Here is a 2,204-nt window from a genome sequence, read left to right on the forward strand (position 1 = left end):
GTCTGTTAGTTCCATTTTAAGTACAGTATTTTTAAGTCTGATGTTTCTTGTTAATTTTGTGTCTGGGTGTTACATGTATTATTGCAAGTGTAATATTGAGATCTATTATTTTATTGTTGTTTTTTTCCTCTCTTTAAATCTGTCAATGTTTGCTTTATTTTATTTAGATGCTTCGATGTTGGATGCATACATATTTATACTTGCAATAACTTCCCGTGGAATTGACCTTTTTATTATTAGGTGATGACATTATTTGTTTCTTGTGACAGTTTTTAACTTAAAGTCTATTTTTTTTCTAATATAAGTATCAGCATCTCTGATCTCTTTTGGTCACCATCTGCAAGAAATATTTTTTTTTGTTCCTTCACTTTCAGCTAATTGTGTGGCCCTAAATCTAAAGTGGGCCTCTTATAGATAGCATATATTTGGATCCTCTTTTAAAAATTTATGTGTCCTGTCTTTTGATTGGTGAGTTTAATTCATTTACATTTAAAATAGTTATTGACAGGTAAGGACTTACTATTGCCATTTTGTTAATTGTTTTCTGTCTGATTTGTAGTTCTTAAATTCCACTCTTTCTCTCTTGCTAGCTTCTTTGCAATTTAACTTTTTTGTAGTGATACATTTTGATTTTTTAAAATGTTTTTTGAATTGGCTATAGTTTATTTGTGGTTACCATGAAGCTTGCATACAACTTCCTATTCTTGTTAATAGTCTATTTTGAATTGATAGCAACTTCAATTGTATAGAAAAGCTGTACACTTTATTCCCCCGTCAATACTTTGTTATTGATGTCAGAATTTTATCCTTTTATATTGTGTATCAATTAATCAATTTTGTGGTTATAGTTATAATACCATGTCTTTATTATTTATTTATTTTTTTTTGAGATGGAGTCTTGTTCTGTCACCCAGGCTGGAATGCAGTGGCGTGATCTTGGCTCACTGCAACCACTGCTTCCAGGGTTCAAGCAGTTCTCCTGTCACAGCCTCCCAAGTACTTGGGAGTACAGATGCGTGCCAGCACGCATGGCTAATTTTTGTATTTTCAGTAGAGACAAGGTTTCACCATATTGATCAGGCTTGTCTCGAACTCCTGACACCAGTGATCCAGCTTCCTCAGCCTCCCAAAGTACTGGGATTACAGGCATGAGCCACTGCACTCAGCCACCATTGTCTTTTAACTTTTATACTGGGGTAAAAGTGACTTATTCATCATCATTACAGTATTACAGTATTTGCTTATATATTTGCCTTTATCAGTGAGATTTATACTGTTATATTTGTTCATGTTACCTTTTAGCATTCTTTTGTTTTTGAACTCTATTTACTCCCTTTGGAATTTCTTGTCAGGATGGTCTAGTGGTGACAAACTGTCAGTTTTGTTTATCTAGGAAAGTCTTTATCTTTCCTTCATTTTAAAAGGACTGTTTTGTCAGGTATAGTATTCTCGGTTGGCAGGTTTTTTGTTTTTTTCTTCTTTCCTTTCTGTACTTTGAATCTTGCAGGCCTGCAAGATTTCTGCTAAGAAATCTGCTGATAGACTTACGGAGATTTTCTTGCATGTGATCAGCTTTTCTCTTGCTGCTTTCAAAATTGTGTCTTTGCCTTTGCCTTTTGAAAATTTAATTTTAACATTTCTCAGTGCAGCCCTCTTTAGGTGTCACTTATTTGAGATCCTTTTGGTTCCATGAATTTAGATATCCAGTTCCCTCCTGAGATTTTGGAAGTTTTACCCATTCCTTCTTTATTCTATCTCTTTGTCCTCCTCCTCCTCCTCTTACTCCTTCTCCTCTTCTCCTTACTCTTTCTCTTCTTATTCTTATTCATATTCTTTTCTCTCACACTCAGATCTCCAAGGTTGGCTGGCTTCCCCAAGTCTGCAGTGTTACCAATATATCATTATACATGCATTATTTCTTTAAATAAGCTTTCTACCCCTTTCTCTCCCTTCTCTTCCCAGAGCTTCCCTTAATGCATATATTATTTTGCTAAGTGGTGGCTAATAAGTACTATAAGGTTTTCTTTATTCTTAAAAAGAATTTTTTTGGTTCCTTGAAATGGGTAATTACTTGTCTTTGAGCTAGCTGACTCCTTCTTCGGCTGATCGTGTCTAATGTAGAAGCTCTCTATTAAGTTTTTCAGCTGAGCCATTGTGTTCTTCAGCTCTAGAATTTCTGTTGGGTTTTTTTTTTTATGGCTTGT

General features: G+C 34.5%; 1 pseudogene; it reads right to left on the reverse strand.

Annotated features, from left to right (window-relative positions):
• Window positions 1-1,839: 1,839 nt before the first annotated feature.
• On the reverse strand, window positions 1,840-1,910 carry LOC124900307 (uncharacterized; annotated as a pseudogene).
• Window positions 1,911-2,204: the final 294 nt, after the last annotated feature.

The sequence above is a fragment of the Homo sapiens genome, chromosome 11, assembly GCF_000001405.40.
Source record: "Homo sapiens chromosome 11, GRCh38.p14 Primary Assembly".
NCBI classification, from domain to species: domain Eukaryota; kingdom Metazoa; phylum Chordata; class Mammalia; order Primates; family Hominidae; genus Homo; species Homo sapiens.